The following is a 21,809-nucleotide window of genomic DNA, read 5'->3' as shown; positions in this document are numbered from 1 at the left end:
TGTACACTTCAATAAAAAGAGGTCTATATCCATCTAAAGAAGCCAGCCCACAGCTGAGGGTTTGGTTATAAGAACCGCAACTTGGTATTACTTCTAACATATTTATCTGAAAGTCAATAAAATACAGCAAAGATTAGTAATAGAATAACTGTCAGCTCTCTGCCTATTCCTTGGGTGGAACCTCAGTCTAAGAAACTCAGACTGGCAATTGTTCAAGGCAGAAAATGTCTAATAAGCTAATAGGACTGTAATGTATGGAAAAGCAAAAGGTGTTACTTAAAAAAATGTTCAACCAGTGAAGCCTCACTCACAGTGCTACAGGATAAAATATGGGTGAGAGTTTGGGCCTACCATCTTTGATCCACTCTGCTGGTGGGGAATCTCTGCCAGGTGCAACATTGAATTAGAGGTGACATCTTGGTTTGAGTTTTTTTTTTTTGTCTTTTGTTTTTTGTTTTGAGAGAGAGTCTCGCTCTGTCCCCCAGGCTGGAGTGCAGTGGCATGATCTTGGCTCACTGCAACCTGCACCTCCCAGGTTCAAATGATTCTCCTGTCTCAGCCTCCTGAGTAGCTGGGATTACAGGCGTGTGCCACCACACCCGGCTAATTTTTGTATTTTTAGTAGAGACAGGATCTCACCATGTTGGCCAGGCTGGTCTTGAACTCCTGACCTCAGGTGATCCGCCCGCCTCGGCCTTCCAAAGTGCTGGGATTACAGGCGTGAGCCACCGTACCCAGCCAATGGTTTGAGCGTTTACATTAACAGTGTTAATTAGCATGTCACTTTCACTTTTGTTATTTTTGCAACGTTTACATACCATTTATACCTCTAATTACTTAATTTTTTCTTGACATTGACTTTAAAATTTTATTCATCCTAAGCAGAAATACTTATGATTTCTGTGTAAGATATAGTTTTCTCACACACATCATATAACATAAAATTCTTTTTTGAGACGGAGTCTCGCTCTGTCGCCAGACTGGAGTGCAGTGGCGCGATCTTGGCTCACTGCAAGCTCTGCCTCCCAGGTTCAAGCGATTCTCCTGCCTCAGCCTCCCCAGTAGCTGCGACTACAGGCACACACCACCACGTCCAGCTAATTTTTGTATTTTTAGTAGAGATGGGGTTTCACCATGTTGGCCAGGCTGGTCTCGATCTCTTGACCTCATGATCCGCCCACCTCAGCCTCCCAAAGTGCTGGGATTACAGGCATGTGCCACCGTAATATTTTTTAAAATAACTCCATGAACCATCTAAAGTTATTTCTAACATTATATGCTATAGAAATCACAACTTACAAAATATGCAAACACTTTAGATGAAGCTTGGCAGTGGTTTAAAACTACAGACATTGGAAACAGACTGCCAGGGTTCTAATGCCAGCTCTGTTCCTTAAAAGCTGTGAAACATTGAGCAAGTCACTTTATCTTTCTGTGCCTCAGTAGCCTCATCTGCAAAATGGGAGTAATATTACTAGTATTTGCCACAGGATTATTGTGAAAACTAAATTAATTAATATATGTAAACGAGTTCTATCAGCGGTTGATGCTTAATAAGTGTGCCATTATTATTAAAACACAGTAAATAAGATAGCCTTTGTTCTAGAGAAGTTCAGACTGTTGATTCTGTAGAGCTGGGGAAAGTGAGCTTTTTTGGATAACCCCATGAACTGATCCACTCCTGTTTCACTGAGTTCATATCCGAGATGCCTAGTGCTAGGAGTTACCATTAATATCAAATTTGATGGACAAATTTCTGTCTTCACACATGGCTCTATTACACCTAAATTTAATTCAATAATAAGATATTTATAATAAGATTAAACATTTAATTTTCCCTTTCTATTTGTTATTGACTGATAAATTGGCAGATGTAAAGAAAATGGGAGAGGGGAAGAGGAAAGAATAAGGACGGAAAAAGGAAAGAATAAGGATGGAAAGAAAGGACAAAGGTGGAAGCCAAAGGCCAAGCCTAAGAACTTCAGGAAAGTTGAACCCGTAAGCTTCGAAAAGTTGTCGCAGGGTTAAAATGACATGTGAAAGTGACTACTACCGGGTGGTAGGATGAATTTTATTTTCTTCTCTCTGCTTTTCTGTATTTACTGAATTTGCTACAATGAGCACAGTTTGTTTTGATAATGAGAAAAAAATGGAAAGTGTTTTTTAAATTAATAAAATGTGTCATTGGGAAAATTCCAAATATAATGTTCAGGAAGAAAGGAATTCAAATGAATAATAATTGAATATATAGCAGAAGAGAAAAACTGTGAAAGGGTAAAATTTGATGTTTATTCACTGGTAAAAGACTACCAAGAATCTCAGATGCATAACTTAGTAAAAGCATTTGCATCAAAACAACTTTCTCAGAGTTTTCTGCATTATCAATGTTATCGTTGCTTGAAAAGTAAAAGATTCAGCCCATGGAGATAGTTAAAGAAGTGGGAGGCTAGGGGTAAAAACCATAAATCTTCAAAGGCCCACCTTTTATTCTGATGGCACACATGTGGGCTTTGACCAGCAGTGTTGAGTGACTTTGGGAGATTTTACTTGTAGAGTGAATCGTGAGCCTGGGCCAGTGAGTGTCTGCCCATGGAATCTTAGGTGCCAGAGTATTGGACCTGACCTTGAGGAATGGGCTCTCTCCTACCTTCAAACTAAGTTGTCAGGTCCCAAAAGACGGTATGGTAATACTTTTCTTGAACCTCCAAACCTCTATTGCCATAGAAGCTATGTCATGATTGTTTAATAGGATTCTGAGCTCCTTTGGGTTTTCAAGGATATTTTCCATCATTTTTCTCATTTAAATCTGGTGTAGACTTACTAATTTTTGTTTTCTTGATCTCTCATTGCCAAAGGGAAGAGTATTGACATCTCTCTATCAGCTTTGAGGAGGTGTGTTAAAATCTCCCACTGTGGTTTAGAGTTTGCCAGTCTCCCCCAGTGGAACCAATTGTTTTATTTATAAATATCTTTCATGTCTCTGTTGCGAAGTACAGATAAGTACATGTTTGTTAGAGTTTCTTGGATTATTACTGTTATGACATATCATGTCTCTCTTTATTCCTTGTCTTATGCTGCCATTTTACTTGATATGTACAAGCCCAGGGCAGTGCAGGTGAGGAAAGAAAGGAAACGAGATGAGGAAAAATGCAAAGCCATATAAGGCAACGAGGTATCATTCTGGCCATTGCTTCTCAACTAACTCAAAAAGCACAGTATTTCGCTGAGCACAGGTCTGTTCTCTAGCATGAGGGACCTTCTCCACAAAGGATGCAAGAAAAGAAAGAATGGAGAGTTATCTGCCTGGCTCCCCTTATCTGTCTCACTTACCTTTGATTGAGTTTCATCCCATTCGAACCTAGTTCCTCTGCATTTCAGTGTTGTGCCATCTGGCCCTTTGGAGGCTCCCCAGAAGCTGACTCCATTGCCCTGAAATGTGGTCGTTCATCCAAACCCAGAGTGGAGTGGGGTGAAGTGGGGTGGAGTGGAGTGGAGTGAAGTGGAGCTGAGGCATGTAAGGGAGGCGCCAGTCAGAAGAATGGCAGGAGGCAGATGAGAGAATCTGGGAAGGTAGGAAAGGTTTGTGTCTGGCACATCCTTAATCACGTATGTTCTCACTTAATAATATTAATGATACCCAGGAGTCAATGAAAATTGTCACCCCCACAGAAAGACTGACAAACTCAAAATCAATTTAACAAATATGTGTTGAATGCACTCACCATGTCCAAGTGACCATGTAGGTACTATGAGGAGAAAGTGATGTGCAAGACAGGATTCTGGGCTTCATGAAAAACAGGGAGTCTCCAGAGGAAAGATTTTGGATTAGACACCTGGACTTGAATTTCTGCTGTGCCCCTTATGCTCTGTGAATTTGAACAAAATATTTAACTTTCTAAGCCTCAGTTTCCTGGGGATAATAAGAGTGCTTGCCTTATAGTATTGTTATAAGATTGAAATGAAATCACAATTTTAGAGTAGCTGGTACATTTGATTAATGCTAACTGTTGTTTCTGTCTCAAAAAGAGCCATTATAGGCAAAGGATGAGCAAAGAGCCATGGGGAACCAAGAAGGGAAAGGCTAGTTCCAACCTAGCCTTTGGAACTAGCCTCTGGAAGGTCAGAGAAGGTTCCAGGTCTGTGGCAAAACAGAAAGATAATTCCTTTCCCTTTCCTGGTGCATGGTCAAGCCCTGCGCAAATTTATTTGGCGGATTTGGGCTTTGGCACCTTCCTTCTTTGTGTATCCCTCTCCTGCCTTCATCCTTTGTTTCCTCACCTGGCTGTAAGCCTGCCTGCATTTCCTGACTTGGAGGAGCAGGCAGGGGTGCCACGTTTTCCCAACCCAACTCCCTTGCCTTTGGAGGTGCTATGATTCTTTAGAAAGCAAACTGATTATCCAAACCCAAATCAAGTTCAAGTGACTGCTGGACCTTTACCTTCCTAATATTTTGTACCTCTGCCTAGTTGAAGCTTATTTCACAAAGACAAATGTCTAATCAGAATCATCCTTCATGAGAATAAACTCGTTAAAATGGCTCCCACAAACTTTCCTGGCTTTTAGGATCTTTACTTTTAGATCCATAGGCTCTCTGGAAGCTGTGAGAGTCCATTAACAGCTTTCCTGGAGGAGCTCTGGCCAGCTAAGAGTCAAGGTTACCTTATAGGTATTAGATGTTTACAACTCAGGGACTGTTTGTCAGAAATCACAGTCACTAGAGTTTCCATACTGTCCCCTCTATATTTTTCCATCATAAAATGTCCTCTCTAACCCCATTCCTTTCTCAGCATTTTCCTGTTTTCTTTACCACATGTTCTACATATTAAATATAGCATCCACGTATCAAGTTTTTGGTTAAGGAGAGGCCTAGAGTATAGCAAAGGTTTTAATTTCCTGTTTGGAAGATCATATTATTCATGCAAAGAACATGTGAAAACAAATTCCTTGTTTAATCAGATAAAAGGGGTGAGGCATATAAAGAATTGTGATGCAATTTTCCTTCAGTTAGTCATTTCTCCTACTTTCCTGGCTCATCTGAATATTTCTCTACATGGGTCCAATACGAAATAGCTCTTTCTTTAATGTTCTTTTCACCGGATAGTTTAAGAAGTCGGTTAGTAAGGAGTGACAAGGTAAGCTGCACACATCTTAGAGAGCACTTTGAGTTTAACAGGGCCTTCCAGTAATGCTACATCCAGTTCCTAAATACCCTGCTTCCCTGTCTTTTGATGGTGGTGGCAGATTTAGGAATGAGCAGAGGCAGTGAGCTATTGTTGAAAAACACTGATCGGCATTGGGGCAACTGGCTGAACCACTTACTAGCTGTGTGCCATGACCAAGTTACTGCATCTTATGCAGCCTCCATGTTCTTACATTTAAAAAGTCAGTGACAAACCCTACCTTGTGAAATAAACAATCAATTAGATCATTTGACTCATGAAACATTTGAATACCTGTGTGACAGACACTGTGTTAAGCACTGGGGATATAGATTTAAACAAGATAAAGTCTTGCCCTCAAGTAGCGCAGAATCTCGTAGGTGATTCAAATCTCATAGGTGAGTCAAATATGTAAATGTACAAAGTAAGTCTAATTATAAAAGTATATTCAACAGTCATCCTCAAGATGTGAGATTATATCAGCACACATAGGGAGCTTTTTAAATTATACACAAAACCACCCACAGGATCAGGGCACAAGACTCTCAATAATTCTCGCTTTTTAAAAACTGCCACTACACGTATTTAGCAATGGAAGGCATGTGGTTTTAGTCAACTGTCTCCCATTTTCAGAGATGGAAACTCCCACATAACCTTTTCCTACCCCAACCCCCTAGAACCTCTACTCCATATAACATCGTTGGACAATGTAAGTTACAACCTAAACTTCAACTTCTACTTGCTTGCTAATGACTCTGAAATCTGTATCTTCAGTCTTGATTGTTCTGCTGAGCTCCAAAACAACTGTCTACTGATGAACAGTTATCTTCTGGATGATCCACAGGTCCCTCGTTTGTGATAAAAGCAGCATTGAGCTCAGGGTCCTCCTCCCTTCTGCTAATAAAGCCATTCCTCCTGCCATTTCCCATTGTAGTGGCAGAATACAGGATTTGCCCAAGCTCTCTTGGAATAATCTTAGATTCCTTTCATCCTCTGTGCCATTTCAATCACCCACCAAATCCTAGAAGTGCTATTCCTGAAATTATCTATATAACATATATAATTTCCTCTATATATATAGATACACAAGTATAAATACACATATATATGTTATATATATGTATATGTATACATATCCCCAACTCTCTATTCTGAACTATTACAATGACCTTCTTGTCTACTTTGAAATATGCTTTCTAAACTTGTATGTGTCATTCCTACAGGTAAATATCATGATGTCATTCCCACTAAACTTCTTCCAATTGTTTCTCTTCCCTTTTCTTAACCCTAGCATCTAGAACTGGGTCTTACTTATCTTGTTGCTTGATCAGTTCTGAGGTAGAGTGAAACATTGCTACGTCCTAGGAAAGGAGGACATGTAGAATAAAGAATAAAGAATTCTTTTACACAAAGAATTGTAGAAGAAACCATCCCACAGTGCAGGAATTTACTGTCTGTTTTGGAAGGCACCGGAAGGGTCAAACAGCATAAAAGATATTTAGTGACCACTTATTGAATATCTATGATGTGTCACGCACCAAGCCAGTTGCTTAGGTTGCAATGATTAAAATACATGGTTCCTGCACATGAATTGAGGAAATTATAACATAGTGAGTTTTGAGTTATTATACATGTATAAAGTATTGCTAGAGCATGGAACTATGACAGCTTGAGTTACAACTTGAAGGTTGAGTAGGAGCTTGATAGGCTATGGTGGGCTGCATGAGGAGATAAAGGATCCAGGAGTTACAGCAAGAGGAAGCATGATGTTTGGGAAATGGCAAATACTTCATTGCCACAGGAGTGTAGAGTGCTTAGCGGAGGATGATGAAAGGAGCATAAGTGAAGGGGCAGGCTGAAGCACTCATCATTCACTTACTCACATGTTCATTAACAAATATTTATCAGTATTTATCAATAATGAATGCTGAAGCATTCATTTTTCACTTACTCACGTGTTCATTAACAAATATTTATCAAATATCCTGTCCAGAGTCTCCTATTAGTTCTGTCAGCCCCATGGAGCTATGCCTGGGTCATGGCTTAAGTTGAGACCTTGAAAGTTGCCTATGAGCAGTTAAAGATTCTCACTGAAGTCACCACTTGTCTATTGCTTCCCCCTCCCCTGACCTCCACTTCCAGTTCTCCTCACATGCCTTTAAACTCTTAAATATTCCTCTGCAGTATTCTAGCCACAGATGAGAAATATCATCCTTTAAGTGAATTTGAAGGAAGGGAAAAAATACATTTAAAGAGAAAAAAAAAGGCCTTGACAGTTGCACAGAAGCCTCCTTGCTACTATAAATATTTAGGACGGGAAGGCATATGGTTTAAGCCAACTCCCTGCCACACTCAATGTGTAGTTTTCATGTTTTAAACTATCAATGCTCAATCATTACTGTTGTGCTGGCAGTCCTTTCTTTTGTGTATGTGAGTTTCTCCCTATTAAATAAACCCTCTCTTTTGGAAGAATTCTCATGGCAATGACTATAATTACAACCCAAAGCTGAGCTGTAAAATGCAGTGATATGACAGCTTTTGTGATAGAAAGGGTGGAGAAACAATGAAAGCTTATAATTTTCTTTGAGATGTCTCAAAGTCTGACAGCAGCCCCACCCTTATGATGTAAATCTGCAGTGACCTAAAGTTTCAGGAAAGATGAAGCTAGAGAGACATGCCAAGTCACCGCCACATTGACCACCAGCAAACAAGCAAGAAAAGATTCAGCATAATGCTGAATTCTCTATGACTTCTTCAAATAGTCTGGAATGGTATTTCCTGACATTTCCGAATATGAGGGTTCTTTTTAATGTCAAAACTTTTTGTTCCTTACTTGAGATGAGCTGTTCTTTTTATATCCATCATTTGAGGAAATATATGGTGATAATATGCAATTAATTTATTACTTTGAAATAAGCTATTTACCTTCATTAATCACAATAGCATTTATAAATACCTGAAAAACAAAACGTATGTGCTTTAAAATATTATTTATTCAGTCTACCAACAAAGCTTGGCCCCTTTTGTATTTGATGACAATTGCAGTGGCTCAGAAATCTGTAATTTCCTATTCCTTCTCACCCGCCCCACCTAAGAGTCTCAGGCCTGGGACAGTGTGTTCCTTGTATTCATTTATTTATTCACTTGTAAGGTATTAGGGGCCTACTGTATTCTCAGCATCATGCTGGAGGTCATAGATACAAAATTAAGTGACACCTGGCACCTGCCCTCATAGGACTTAAGTCCATTGGGAAAGACAGATATATAAATCTGTAACAGCACAATGAGCACAAAAAGCTTAGGAGGAGGTGGTTAGTTCTACTGGGCGAGAGTAGTTAAAAAGCATTTATCTGGGAGGTATATTGGTCAGCTATTGCCACAATAATGCTGTGCAACAAATCACTCAAAGACATAGTAACTCAGAACAGTAATCCTCAGGCTCATGTCTGCAAATCAACAACCAATCTGCTGGGCTGTGCTTGATTTGGGCGCCAGGCTCTGGGCTCCAACTGTGAGCTGCAGATTGGGATCAGGTCCGTTCAACATGGCTCTCATCCCCCCTGGACCAGAGTATGTGCTCACTGTGGGTCACTACAAAGCAAGAGAACCTAACTCTGCAAAAACAGTTCAGGTCTCTGCTCTTGCTACAGCCATAAAAATTCCATTGGTCAAGGCAGGTAACGTGGCCAAGCCCAAAGTCAAGGGACAGGGACATATACTCCACCTACCATTCAGCTATGTGTGGGTATGAATGCTACTGGAGGGAAGTGAGGAATTAAGACAAAAAACTCAATTTACCACAAGAGAGAACCCTTGATATACATCCTGAAAGATGATTGCAAGTTTATCAGGTGGATCTAAACATCTGAAATAAGGATCAGGAGAAATAATATTAATACACAGCATTTGGCCTAACAGAAATGTTTTGAGGGAAAGTAGTTGGGACTGTTATACAAGGTGCATGCTCAGTGTCTGTCATGGAATGCACCAGGGCCATTAGTATATAGAGAAGAGCACAGCCTATGCGTGCCACAGCTAAATAGATCTAGAGAAAATTTAATGAAAGACCTCATCTTGCTGACGGTAGGCCCATATTGATCATGCAGGAGCCATTTGAGCCCAGTGTCTCTAGTGTGATGACAATGACATTAAAGAAAAAATGGAACTCACATTCGATGCTGTCTTCAGCACTAATTCATTCCTCGTGCTACTGTCTTCAAAGTATTGAGGTTGCAGTTTATATAAATTTTCTGTTGTCCCTGTAAACAAATCAGCAAAAACTTAATGGTTTAAACACAATACAAATGTATTACTTTGCAGTTCTGGAGGTGAGAATACTGAAATAAGTCTCATGGGCTAAAAATGAAGCTGTTTGCATGTCTGCTTTTTTTTCCGGAAACTCTAGGAGAGAATCTGTTTCCTTGCCCTTTCCAGAGTCTAGAGTACAACTGCATTCCTTAGCTTGTGGTTCCTTCCTCTGTCTTCAAAGGCAGCAGTGTAACATCTTCAGATCTTTGAATCTGAACACTGCCTCCCTCTTCCACACGTAAAGGACCCTTATGATTATATTGGGCCCACCCAGATAATCCAGGATGATTTCATTTTAATAACAGCTGGTTAGCAACCTTAATTCCTCCTTGACATATAACATGACATATTCACAAATTCTGAGGATTAGGATGTATGCATCTTTGAGAGACCATTATTCTGGTTTTGGTTCTGCCCATTATTCTGGTTTTTCCCCCACATGGTTCTTGGGGGAAAAAAATAACAATGCCTCATATTAATATTACACCTTATTACAAGCCAAACACTTTCTTTTTTTGTTTTTTTTTTTAATGATCTCACTTTTGTAAGCAGAGAATAATTTTATGGTGGACAAAAGGAGCTCTAGATATGTTAAGTGGCAACATAGTATAGCATAGTAGTTACCTCCTGCTTTTTCAATTGCCTTGGAATATTCCACATGTACCTAGGTTGGTGTTTACCACATTCTATTGCAATTACAGTAGCCTCCTCTTATCCGGGAATGCCTTCTGGGACTCCCAGTGGATGCCTGAAACCGAGGATAGTACTAAACTCTACATACACTATGTTTTTTCCTATATGTACATACCTACAACAAAGGGTAATTTATAAATTAGGCACAGTAAGAAACTGACAATAATAACTAATAATAGTACAAGTATACCAATATACTGTAATAAAAGTTATGTATGGGTGCAGTGGCTCACACCTGTAATCCCAGCACTTTGGGAGGCTGAGGTGGGTGGATCACCTGAGGTCAGGAGTTCAAGACCAGCCTGGCCAACATGGCAAAACCCCGTCTCTACTAAAAAAATACAAAAATTAGCCAGGCGTGGTGGCGGGTACCTATAATCCCAGCTTCTCAGGAGGCGGAGGCCAGAGAATTGCTTGAACCTGGGAAGCAGAAGTTGCAGTGAGCCAAGATCATGCTACTGCACTCCAGCCTGGGTAACAGAGTGAGACTCTGTCTTAAAAAAAATAAGTTACTTGAACATGCACTTTCTCTCTTTCAAAATATCATATTGTACTATAATCACTTAATTTCAGACAACAGTTGACCATGGATGACTGAAACCTTGGAAAGTGAAACCTTGGATGGCTGGAGGGAGTAAGGGTTACTAATGTATTTGTTACATGTCTGTATCACCACTTTAAGGCAGACATAGAGTCATTTTATGCTCCTTGCCTTAGTAGTTAAAGAAGGCGAAAGAAAATAACATTCCTTAGCCACTCATTATGTTCAACATGTGCCACAAACTCTATATGTGATTTGTAATTTTTTCTTCCCCATACTTACAGGTAAGTAAACCTGGGCCCAAGATCACAGAGCACACAGCTGGAATTCACAGCAAGACCTGATTGACTTCGAAGTCAGTGGTCTTTCCCCTGCTTCCCACGAGACAGGTAATCCCTCAGCTTACTCTTGAAGAGGCAATGTGGGCTACTGCATTTGAATGTCTGAATTCAAGCCTTGTAGAAACAACTAGCAGTAACCAAACACCATTATTTTTGTTTGTTCATTTGTTTCCAAATGACTTGTGACTTTTCTAATGGAGAAAACACTCAACCCAAATCTTAATTCCACCAACAATGAGTGTGTGCCTTGGACAATTCACAGCCTGTCTGAGCTAGTTTATTTTAGAGTAAGCAAGTTGGAGTAGGTGACCTCTGTGTTCTTTGTAATTTGAGACGTTTTGGTGTTCACACAGGTTACTACATGAAGAGCTGGGACTGGAATACAGGTTTTCTATGTTCACCTGGGGATAGCTTTTCCATCATCCCTCCTGAGTCTGTGAGGTATCCCAGTTTTTAAGCCAGAACTTTGAAACCAGAAGTAAATGGTTAAGTTTATCTGTCTATGCCTATGTGTATTCTAGCCAAATAAACCATGACACTTAAAACAATTTCAATATTTCAAAGATGTAGTAAATTTCCTTGAACCTTTTTTATTGTTTTTTATAAATTAAAAATTATGAAATAATTCAAACATTTTTAAAATAGGAAATAACGTGATATGCATGTACCCCATACCCAGATTTAATAGATGTTTACATTATGCAGTATCTGTTTCTTTTTTTTTTTTTTTTCTTGAGACAGAGTCTTGCTCTGTCACCCAGGCTGGAGTGCAGTGGCATAATCTCGGCTCACTGCAACCTCCGCCTCCCGGGTTCAAGCGATTCTCCTGCCTCAGCCTCCTGAGTAGGTGAGATTACAGGCGCGCACCACCAAGTCCAGCTATTTTTTGTGTTTTTAGTAGAGACAGGGTTTCACCATGTTGGTCAGGCTGGTCTCGAACTCCTGACCTCGTGATCCACCTACCTTGGCCTCCCAAAGTGCTGGGATTGCAGGCATGAGCCACCGCACCTGGCCTTCAATTTTTTGATAGAAGTAAGACATCACAGGTACAATCAAAGTTTCCTAATCTTATATTTCTTCTCACACTTCCCAGAGGAAAATGACTATTCTAAAGTTAGTTACTTCTATTTCTTAATTGTAATACATTTATTCATATTCTTAAGACATTTATGTAATATTGTGTTAAGTATTTTTGAAATGTATATAAATGGAATCATACAATAAAGACCCTCAGCAGTTTTTTTTCACTGAATGTTCTGGTTTCAAGATTTATCCATGTGAATATGTGTAGGTCTAGTTTATTCATTTTAATTATTGTGTTATATTTTATTGTATGACCATAACATTTATTTTTTCTTTTGATTGTGAATTTAATTTTTTTAATATTTAAACAGTGCTGCAATGAACATTTTTCCTTATATCTATCTGCTTGTTCCTGTGAGCTTCTCAAACCATGACCTGAAGATCGCTACCAGTTCATAACTAATTAAGTACAGAAATTGACAATATTAATTTAGAAACTTTAATAGCAATCCAACTGAGTACTTTTATGTCTATTGAATCCAATAATACAGAATATTGAGTTCTGTATTTTGTATGTCTGTTTTAAAATTTTATTTTTTTGAGATAGGGTCTCACTCTGTCTCCTAGGCCAGAGTGCAGTGGCGCAATCACAGCTCACTGTAGCCTCAAAACTCCCAGGCTCAGGTGATCGATCCTCTCACCTCAGCTCCTGAGGAGCTAGGACTACAGGCGCACACCACCATACCTGGCTAATTTTTTCACTTGTTATAGAGATGGGGCTTTGCCATCTTGCCCAGACTGGTCTCGAACTCCTGGGCTCAAGTGATCCATCCACCTCAGCCTTCCAACATGCTGGGACTACAGGCATGAGCCACTGTCCCCAGCCAAAATTTTATTTATTCATTTTCATTGTATTTTACAAACATATTGATCCTCAGCAGCATGGAAATATTTTTAGAAAACTTGCCTTTTTATTACAGATAGTTTGAGACTTTCTGCATGGTTTCTACTTGCAAGTTGAATTTCTGGCTTGATGAATAAGTGCATCTTTAGCTCTAAAACATATAAACAAATTCCACTCCAGAATGGTCAAACCAATTTTCAATCTCTTCTGCAGTGTATAAGTTTCCTTTTCCAACAGTTGCATTATCAGACCTTTAAATCTTTTCTCAATATGATAGCTATGAAATATTTTATTTAACTAGCAATTATCTGATAAATAGTGACGTTGAACATCTATTTATATGCTAATTACATTCCCAGTTACCTGACTTTAACAAGGCAGGTTTTCCAGTTTGCAAGTATGGGGAAAATATGTCTTTAAAAATCTAGCTATAGCAGGCAAAGTATCATAACAGGTAAAACTGGTTTTTAAGAAGAAAAGCCTAGGAACAGCTAGCTTTGACTTGATGAAGGACAGGAAAAACCAGTTGTAGCAATTGAGTACATGGACAGATACTTTAGAGTACATGTCTTTTCCGGTATTTTGGTTTTGGGACAATCCCTCCATCACCATTATGACGTTTCAGTGGAGCAATTTTCACTAAGAATTTTGTACCTGTTTTCCAGTTTTGATCATCGATGATTTTCTGGTTCTAATGAGATCAAGGACATGAAGAGGCTGAGTGCCTCCATGAGCTTCATTATTTTCCATGATCTGACCTCTCATTCTCTTAAGCTTTGGAGTTGGATGAAGGAAGAACTCTGAAAAAAAGGTGGGAGGGTGTAGGTCCAGGCACCCCCTTGTAATTCACACTGCCTCAGCCTGAGAGTTTGTGTGTGTGTGTGTGTGTGTGTGTGTGTGTGTGTGTGTGTGTGTTGTTGTTGTTGTTGTTTTTGAGATGGAGTCTGCCTCTGTTGCCAGTCTGGAGTGCAATGGTGCCATCTCAGCTCACTGCAACCTCTGCCTCCCGGGTTCAAGCGATTCTCCTGCCTCAGCCTCCCGAGTAGCTGGGACTACAGGCAAATGCCACCATGCCTGGCTAATTTTTTGTATTTTTAGTAAGACGGGGTTTCACCGTGTTAACCAGGATGGTCTCGATTTCCTGACCTCGTGATCCGCCCACCTCGGCCTCCTAAAGTGCTGGGATTACAGGCGTGAGCCACCACACCTGGCCACTTGAGATATTTTTTTAAATGCCAACCAGAGGCCGGGCGCGGTGGCTCACGCCTGTAATCCCTGCACTCTGGGAGGCCGAGGCGGGCGGGTCACGAGGTCAGGAGATCGAGACCATCCTGGCTAACACAGTGAAACCCCGTCTCTACTAAAATAAAAATATATATATATACAAAAAATTAGCTGGGCGTGGTGGCAGGCGCCTGTAGTCCCACCTACTTGGGAGGCTGAGGCAGGAGAATGGCGTGAACCCGGGAGGCGGAGCTTGCAGTGAGCCGAGATCGCGCCACTGCACTCCAGCACTCCAGCCTGGGAGACAGAGCCAGACTCCGTCTCCAAAAAAAAAAAAAAAAAAAAAAAAAAATGCCAACCAGAACTTATGCTTCCATGCTTAAAACCTATCAATATCTTCCGAAAGCATAATAAAATTGAAAATACTTGGCGTGGGGCTTTCCTCCCTCTTCCACCTATCTCACCCTCCTTCCTCCTAGCCTATATGAATTGCTTGGAGAGTCCCAGTTTATGTCAAACTGTTTTGCACTTTCATTCCTTGGTTCAAGATGCTTCCTCTTCCTGGGATTCCTTCTTGCCCCTCCCTGGTTGCATGATACACTTCTCCTCCTCATTCATAACTCAGCTATCAGGACTCTCCCAGGAACAACTGATTATTCCCCTTTGTATGCTCTGCTAAATTAAAATTTCAAAACATGTACCCCTTTGTAAAGTGGACTTTCATTCAAGGTGCACAGTTCAGTAATTACTACCAAAAGAACTACTGGTACAACTTTCACCCTGGTCAAAACAGAACATTATCACTCCCTTATAAAAAAAGTTTTACCTTTTTTTATAGTACTTTATATAAATGAAATCATATCATGCGCTTTCTGTGTCTGGTTTCTTTTGCATAATGTTATATGTGTGAGATTTACTTGTGTCGTATACAGCAGTTCATGCATTTTCATTGCCGTGTAGTATCTGATTTATGGCTACACCACGTGTTGGTGTGTTTTTTAAGATTGTGGATGGATATTAGGGTTATTTTCATTTTGAGGCATTGCAAATACTGCTGTTTTGAACATTTATACCCAAGTCTTCTGGTGCATATGTGTGTATGCATTTCTGTTGGACATATACCTGAAAGTGGAATTGCTGGGTCATAAGGTATATTATATTCAAATTTAGTAGATACTGACAGTTTCCCGAAGTGGTGACTGTATCAATTTATACTCCCCCCAGCAACTTTGCTTGTAATTGGCTTTTTAACCTAAGCTATCTTTTTGAGTATGCAGTGGTATCACATTTTTGTTTCAATTTGAATTTTCTCTGATGACTAATTGAGAATTATTTCATATAATATATATTTATTGACCATTTAGATATTCTGTTTTCTGAAGTGCCTGTTCATATCTTTTCCCCTTTTTTCTATTAAATTATCTGATTCTTTAGGAGTTCTTTATAACTTATTTTATTTTTATTTTATTTTTGAGATGGGATCTTGCTCTGTAGTCCAGGCTGGAGTACAGTGGCACGATCTCAGCTCACTACAGCCTCTGCCTCCCAGGTTCAAGAAATTCTCTCACTTCAGCCTCCCAAGTAGCTGGGATTACAGGGGTACGCCACCATACCTGGCCAATTTTTGCATTTTTAGTGGAGGCGGGGTTTCACCATGTTGGCCAGGCTGGTCTCAAAACTCCTGACATCATGTGATCCACCCACCTCAGCCTCCCAAAGTGTTGGGATTACAGACATGAGCCACCGTGCTTGGCCTATAGTTTTAATGTAGTCTAATTTTTCAATATTTTCCAGAAAGCTCACAGAATCATAAAAAATATATTGTTATTTTAGGCCACTTAGTTTGGGGAGTTTGTTGCAGAGTAATAGATAAGTGAAGCAGCAAAGTACAGAGGGGCTTTTATCTAAGAGAGCTGATTTATCATTGGATATCTCAGAAAACCACAACATTTCCAAAAGAACTGTATCAGCTTGAGCTGAAAAAGATTGAGACAGTTCAAAATGAAAGAAGTTTCTGGGTCCTCAAACTTCTATGGGGAATAAGCAGGTTAAGAAACTTTCTCAGTTGCAAGCATGGGTCGTTCCTAATGAAAAAGGCAGGATGTCACGGAGGGCGGAGGCAAGAGCCACTGCTTTCTTAAGCAGGTTACGAAAGTTTCTCAGTTGCAAGCGTGGGTCGTTTCTAATGAAAAAGGCAGGATGTCATGGAAGGCGGAGCCAAGAGCCACGGAGAATCACTCCCAAGTAGCAGGGCTGGTCACATGTGCTCAGAGGATGTTGGAATTGCTGTGGATGGGTGCTTGCTTTGTGCCTCCTATTCATGCCCCCCTTTTAAATGCAAGTGTCTATTTGTTTATCCTAGCCCTATCTTATGAATGTATGTTATGTATATATGGGAGTGTATATGTGTGTTGGTGATGAGGTTTGAGAGAGCTAGAATTTTTAATTCACAATCTGTACAATTCAGTATCTGCACCCAAGGACCCACACCCAAGGAGCAGTACCAGAGGGAACACATCTGAAGAGCCCTATCTGGATTTGCCAACATGATTTAGATGATAAGATACTGGACTTTGAGCTGGTGCCATAATGGGATGAGGCTTTGGGAGTCCAAAGGGAGATAAGTGTAAGTGTATTTCACCGGTGAAGAATGTAAAACATAAAAGGCCAGAACATGAACTCTGCAGCTAATCTCCAAAGATGGCTCTCAGTGAACCACACCTCATGGAATTCATGTCCTTGCATAGTCCCCTCCCGCACTGAATCTGGGTTAACTTTGTGACTTTCTCTAACTATCAGAATGTGACAGAAGTAACAATATGATACATCCCTCCATTTAGTGAGATCATCTTTAATTTCTCCCAATAATGTTTTGTAGTTTTCTGTGTAGAGGTCTTACAAATTTTTTAGATTGATTCTTTGACATGTGACTTTTCTATGCTGTTGATAAATGATATTTTGTTAAAATTTTTATTTTCTAATTGCTTGTTACTAGCATATAGAAACTTAATTACATATAGAAACTAAGTACAGGACTTTGTTTATTGACTATGTATTCAGTGGCCTTGGTTAATTCCTCTTTTAATTGTAATAGTTTTTCTGTAGTTCTTTTGGATTTTTCTATGTGTATAATTATATATGAATAATGACAGATTCATTTCTTAATTTCCAGTCCTCTAATAGGGTTTCTTTATTTCTTTTTCTAACTTTGATGCACTAGCTAGAACCTACAAAATAATGTGGAAAAAAAGCAACCATCCTTGCCTCATTCCTGATTTTAGAGGAAAAGCTCTTAATATTAACTATGATGTTTTTAATGGGGTTTATTTAGAGATCTTTGTGAAGGCAAGAGTTTTTTTAATAAATGAATCTTGAGTTTTATAAAAAATTTTTACTGCATCTATCAAGATGGTCATATGATTTTTAAATTCTGTTACTGCAGTAAATTATATTGATTTTTTAATCTAAAAACAATCTTACATATCTGAAATAAACCCACTTTGGTCATGATGCATTATTCTTTTTGTGTAACACTGGATTTGATTCTTTTATTTATTTATTTTAGAGTTTTTGCTTATATGTTCACAAGAGACAGTGACTTGTTATTTTTTTCTTGTATGTTCTTGTCAGGTTTGAGAATCAAGGATATGTTGGTCTTACAAAATTATTTGGGAAGTACTTGTTCTTTTTTAACTTTCTGGAAAAGTTTTTATAAATTTGATATGATTACTTCTTTAAATATTTGGTAAACTTCACTAGGGAAGCATCTAGGATGGGAAAATTTTTAGTTATGGACTCAATTTCTTTAATAGATATAAAACTATTCAAATCCTTCTATTTCCAACACTCTGATTTTGGCACATTGAGATTCTCTATGAATTTGTCTATTTTATCTAAATTTTCAAAATTACTGACATAAAAGTCACATAGACCTCTTAGGATTTTTTTAAATGAGTTTTCATTCTTGAAATTATTTATTTGCACATTCTCACTCTCTCTTCTTGATCAAACTGGCCAGATGTTTGTCAATTTAAGGCTCTTAAAAAAAAAGATACAACCTTTGGATTTGTTAAACCTCATTATACATGTATTTGTATTTTTTCCATTGGTTTCTAGTTTGTTGTTTATAATTTACCTAATTTACTTTTTTTGAGTTAAAATTTGCTTTTCTTTTTCAAACTTCTTGAAATGGATACTTACATGATTCTATTTCCCTAATGCTTTATTTAAGCCTATAAATTTCCCTTGAATCATAGACTCGGATTCAGCCCACCCATTTTGATATGTTACATTTTTAATATATTAAATATAAAATGTCTTCTCATTCCTATTGTGATTTTGGTTTGACCTATTGAATCATTTAGTAGTACATTATTAACTTCTAAAACTGGGAGGTTTTAGTATGGCATTTTTGTTATTTATTGCTCGTTTAATTATATGTGGTCAGAAAGCATATTCCATATTATTTCAGTTTCTTAATCTTTGTTAAGGCTTCCTTTATGGTCAAGCATATGGTCAAATTTTTAAATAAAATTCTATAGAACATGTACTTGAAAAAAAATTCTAGTCTGCTCTTGTTGGGTATCAGTTTTCAACATGCGTGTATCAATTAGATCAAGTTTGTTAATCATGTTCTTCAAACCCTTATGTTTTTACTATTTTTTGGTCTATTCATTCTATTTATATTCTTTACTAAAAGAGGAGTGCCAAAATCTCCCCTTATGATTATGGATTTGTCTATTTCTCATTTTAGTTCTGAAAATATTGTTTTATATATTTCAAGGCTTTGTTACTAGATGATAGCTGTGCCCAGTTTTTGTTACATATGATATTGAAAAACTAGAGTGATAGGATTCCAAAGAACCACTGCTGTTGTCTCAATGTCTGTGTCCTCCCAAAATTTATATGTTGAAATCCTAACCCCCAAGGTAATTGCATTAGGATGTAGGGTCTTTGGAAAGTGACTGAAGGCTCTGCCTCTTGAATGGGATTAATGCCCTTATAAAAGAGACCCCTGACATCTGCCTTTCCCCTTCCACCATGTGAGGACACAGTGAGAAGGTGCCATTCATGAACCTGAAAGTGAGCCCTCACCAGACACCAAACTGGTTGAGCATTGTCTTCCCATTCTCTAGAACTATAAGAAATAAATTTCTGTTATTTATAAGCCACCCAGTTTTCAGTATGTTGTTACAGCAGCCCAAATGGACTAAGACAGCCACTCCACTAGGCAAGCCTGAGTGTAGAGCCATCAAAGACAGCTTGGAGAAATAGATTGCTGGCCTTGAGCACCCACATAGCTCATTTTTGCCCAGTGGGAGCTAAAAAATATCTCCTAAATGCTGCTGACCTCCCTATGGTTTGGTACATGCTTAGTACACTCCAGACTTGAGGCCTCTGTATTTTCCATTCTTTCTCCCTAGTATCCTCTTCTAGGTAAACTTGAGGCTTGCATCAGGGATAGATGTAAAGCACATGAAATAATACCTAGCATATATGGTTACTGAAAAAGGAGGGAAGAAATGTTATGAGTTCAAGTGAAAGAAGAGCTTCGTGGAGAGTAGTTAGGATTCACCTAGAGAAAAGCAGATTTGTGTAGGGGATGGAGAAGAACGTATTATCATCAAGTAAACAAAGGCATGGAGCTGTGAAGGTGAGGGTTTCTCTAGACACCTCACAATGAGTCCAGAGTTCAAGCAGGAAAATGGTACGTGGTAGGCAGTTAGGTAAGAAAAATAAATTGAATCCCAAAATAAAGGGCCATGAGGAGTAGGCAAAGGGTTTTGGACTTTGCATCCTGCCTCCTCCTCCTAGACTGGTGACTTACTTCCTGACTAGAATATGAGATTTCTGAGGACATGCCCAGCATCATGTTCTGCACGTAATCTGCAAACAACATTCCATTTATTGGTGACTAAACACTCCGGCCCTGGGGTGAAACTGCCTGGGTTCAAATCCTGCCCCATTCCTTCCTGACTGTATGGCCTTGGATAAGGTAGTTAACTTCTGCACACCTCTGTTTCCTTATCTGTTTAAAAAAAAAAAAAAAAAAAAAAAGGTTAATCAAGGTAGCAGGTTCACTGGGTAATTGTAAAGGTTTGATGGATGTTACATATAAAGCACTTGATATACAACCTGTCAAAAATTTTGTACAGTCAAGTAGGAATGTGGCAATAACCGGGATTTTGAAGGATAGGAATGATTGGGATGGTTAGAAATCACATGTGTGTGATTCTATAACAGTTTATCTTCCTATTGATGTGTTTTATAGGCAGCTAGCATGGGCCAAGTATGTTATCATCAAGAACTGAAGAGACTTAACTAGAGCAAGTAAAACAACACCCGAAATGCAATGTACATATATCAGAATGCTTTTCAGTTCTGCATTTGTGTTCTAATTTGCCTTTAAACATGTGTTGAAAAGAGTTTGACAGATGGGCAGAGGCAACACCATTACTGAGAAAAGTCACTTGACAAATCCTAATATTTCAAAGAGCCACTCCATTTGTGGCACTAAGATTAAATTAAGACAGTGCCCTGGGAAAACACAACTATGCCAGGACTCTCCTCCTACTGAATGCTTCTCATGTCTAAGCTTTACATTTTCAACACTCATTTCCAGGTCTATTTTCAGTTGCTCTACAAAGGATTAATGAAAATAACTCCATCTGATGTGATTAATGTCTCAGAAATCTATCTCATCCTAGTGTTCACAAGACTCTGGCTTCCTATAGAAAGGCCTTCAAAACAATAAGATAAAGAAAATGTATAAAAATTGAAATGTTGATTTTGATATTGTATTCGATAACAGATTTTGGTCAATGCATGTTTATTTTAAAAGAAAGCATGCACAACAGCTTTTCTACTAATAATGGTAGGAAATTACATAGCTATTTAAAATACCCAATTCACACAAATTGAGATGCAAATGTTGGTGTTATTGGCTTAGAACAGAGACGAACATTTAACTCTTAACATGCACATTTTATCCTTAATCTATTCTCAGTAATATTTTATGTTGCTTCACCATTGTCATAAAAGGAAACTGATTTCCTTTTCTGGTAAAGAAGGGAAATAATACTATTAACCTCCCATGATTATTATGAAAATAAAGTGAAATCAAGTAAACAATAGTTTTCAAACTATTGAGAGGATGCAGTTACTCATCAGTAATATTAGAAGGAAGACAATAAAATTTGTTTTCTTCTTTTAAGGCTCGTATAAATACATATATGTATACATACATGTATATATACTTGTCAACTTGAGCAGGGCTGTATAGATAGCTCCCTATATAACAAAAAGATATGAAAATTTGACAATTTAGTATAGAGATTTTTCTAATAAAAAGCACTTTTTAAATATCAAGCACTTTCTTTGTTTTCTAAAACCATAACAGCAAATTTTTATTTATTATGCTAGAACATAATTAGTAGTTATTCGAGTGAGCACAGACAGAATTACATAAAAACAACAGGTGCAAGAACTCCTAGATAATTTCATTAATTGCAGAGGCTCTATGGATTTGGAGCAAGATGTCTAAAATACCCCAGAAGCAGGTGTTCTAGGTCTTCTTATGGCTCATGTGGGCACTTGGAGGTATTTGATGTGGTAGA

The 21,809-nt window shown here is 38.6% G+C and overlaps 2 long non-coding RNA genes across 7 annotated transcripts in view; one reads left to right on the top strand and one right to left on the bottom strand.

The window, feature by feature from the left end:
- The window catches only part of LOC124901333 (uncharacterized), a 54,194-nt gene extending 35,677 nt beyond the window's left edge, over positions 1-18,517 (top strand). For 2 of the 5 annotated variants that reach the window (XR_007059619.1, XR_007059615.1), the window contains 3 exons: positions 10,986-11,090; positions 13,635-13,780; positions 16,661-18,517. This is a non-coding gene — a long non-coding RNA (uncharacterized LOC124901333). Of the gene's footprint in view, positions 1-10,985; positions 13,781-16,660 lie in introns of those variants that run through there. The other 3 variants (XR_007059616.1, XR_007059618.1, XR_007059617.1) reach the window with 3 other exon arrangements.
- The window catches only part of LOC124901334 (uncharacterized), a 47,524-nt gene that overhangs the window by 16,101 nt on the left and 9,614 nt on the right, over positions 1-21,809 (bottom strand). The window contains exons 2-3 of one of the 2 annotated variants that reach the window (XR_007059621.1): positions 9,330-9,418; positions 3,708-3,866 (exon numbers count right to left, since the gene is read on the bottom strand). This is a non-coding gene — a long non-coding RNA (uncharacterized LOC124901334). Of the gene's footprint in view, positions 1-3,707; positions 3,867-9,329; positions 9,419-21,809 lie in introns of those variants that run through there. The other variant, XR_007059620.1, reaches the window with a different exon arrangement.

This window comes from Homo sapiens, chromosome 6, assembly GCF_000001405.40.
Source record: "Homo sapiens chromosome 6, GRCh38.p14 Primary Assembly".
NCBI classification, from domain to species: Eukaryota; Metazoa; Chordata; class Mammalia; order Primates; family Hominidae; genus Homo; species Homo sapiens.
Note: the sequence above shows the minus strand (reverse complement) of the source record. Positions and strands in the feature narration are given on the sequence as shown.